A 1,968-nucleotide genomic window follows, 5' to 3' on the forward strand; every position below is an offset into this window, starting at 1 on the left:
ACCCAGGCTGGAGTGCAGTGGCGCGATCTCGGCTCACTGCAACCTTCGCCTCCCTGGTTCAAGCAATTCTCTGCCTCAGCCTCCCAAGTAGCTGTGATTACAGGCATCCACCACCACGCCCAGCTAATTCTTTGTATTTTTAGTAGAGAAGGGGTTTCGCCATCTTGGCCAGGCTGATCTTGAACTCCTTACCTTGTGATCCACCTGCCTCGGTCTCCCAAAGTGCTGGGATTATAGGCATGAGCCACCGTGCCTCACCTATTCAACTGATTTTAATACTTACTTCTACACAGATACTTTCATGGGAATGCCGGTATCAGCTTTCTTCAGTAGAGCTTTTCCTCCTCCATGAATTTTGCTTATAGGGTGATAATTATATAAACAATTCCCATATAATTGGGCCAGGCGCAGTGGCTCACACCTGTAATCCCAGGACTTTGGGAGGCTGAGGAGGGTAGATCACCTGAGATCAGCAGTTCGAGACCAGCCTAGCTAACATGGTGAAACCCCGTCTCTACTAAAAATACAAAAATTCGCCGGGCGTGGTGGCGGGTGCCTGTAATCCCAACTACTCTGGAGGCCAAGGCAGGAGAATTGCTTGAACCTGGGAGGTGGAGGTTGCAGTGAGCTGAGACTTTGCCGTGTCACTCCAGCCTGGGTGGCAGAGTGAGACTCTGTCACAAACAAACAAACCAAAAAAAAAAAAAAAAACACCAAAAAACTGAAAAAACAAACTTCCCATATAATTAGAGTATATACTTCTATTGTTACTTTTTTCAATTTATTAATGACATACTGTAAACAACATTAAAAATAATAATCCCTTTCATTTCTCAGCCCCAGCACAGCTGCCTCCTCCCTGGGGTTTCTGACACTCTCAGGATGTGGGTTTTCACACTGTGTCTCTCGCACAGTAATACGTGGCCGTGTCCTCAGATCTCAGGCTGCTCAGCTCCGTGTAGGCTGTGCTGATGGACGTGTCCCTGGTCATGGTGACTCTGCCCTGAAACTTCTGTGCATAGTTTGTGCCACCACTGTTAGGGTTGATCCGTCCCATCCACCCAAGCTCTTGTCCAGGGGCCTGTCGCACCCAGTGCATATAGTAGTCGGTGAAGATGTATCCAGAAGCCTTGCAGGAGACCTTCACTGAGGCCCCAGGCTTCTTCACCTCAGCCCCAGACTGCACCAGCTGCACCTGGGAGTGGGCACCTGTGGAGAGGACACAGGAGTGGATGAGATCTCCCTGGACTGGACTCAATCTCTTTCTCATCACTGGGACTAGGGAGCCTCCTACCTGTAGCTGCTGCCACCAAGAAGAGGATCCTCCAGGTCCAGTCCATGGTGAGGAGCTGAGCTCTCAGGGGATTCTCTAGAGGACGGATGTGGTTGTTGGGTGATGCTCTCAGGGCAAGGACAGATCTGTATTTACTTCAGTAAATCTCAGGTTATTTGCATATTCATGAGGGGTACTATTTCATAGCTTCATAGCTCTAGACTTGATCCAAGATGAGAAAGAGAACACACATTATTTATGGGCCATGCAACAGTGGGACGCTGAAGCCCTGTCCTAATCCTTGTTTAATGATGTGTGTCCCCTTGTATGCCCAGAACTCTGCTAAAATAAATTGTCTCTGCTGAAAACAAGTTCCCACAAAACATGGTCCTCCAAGTGAACCCATACTTAAATGGCACTTTGACACCTTCATACTTTTCTGGGCTTTGCTTTCTGCCTGTCTTACTACTGTCTCTGCTAAGATTGGCAAGCACTGAATTAATAAAACTATCCCTTTTCTCCATCTCCTAACTATTAAGATATCTGAAAATCCTAGAAATTTCTCCTTTTAAATGTGATTCTCATTGACTTGTTAGGTTAGATAAATCCTACAAATAGTCTTTACTAAATTCTTGTTTAACTTATTAAAGCATGTTTGTTCAAGAAAAGGAAGACATCAACCCCTGGGAGGAACC

At 46.5% G+C, this 1,968-nt stretch overlaps 1 pseudogene across 1 annotated transcript; it reads right to left on the reverse strand.

The window, feature by feature from the left end:
• Window positions 1-760: 760 nt before the first annotated feature.
• IGHV1OR15-1 (immunoglobulin heavy variable 1/OR15-1 (non-functional)) lies at window positions 761-1,402 on the reverse strand (annotated as a pseudogene). Its single transcript, NR_135694.1, has 2 exons — window positions 1,295-1,402; window positions 761-1,209 (listed from the first exon to the last, which is right to left on the reverse strand). The product of NR_135694.1 is annotated as an immunoglobulin heavy variable 1/OR15-1 (non-functional) (transcript).
• Window positions 1,403-1,968: the final 566 nt, after the last annotated feature.

This window comes from Homo sapiens, chromosome 15, assembly GCF_000001405.40.
Source record: "Homo sapiens chromosome 15, GRCh38.p14 Primary Assembly".
Classification (NCBI taxonomy): Eukaryota; Metazoa; Chordata; class Mammalia; order Primates; family Hominidae; genus Homo; species Homo sapiens.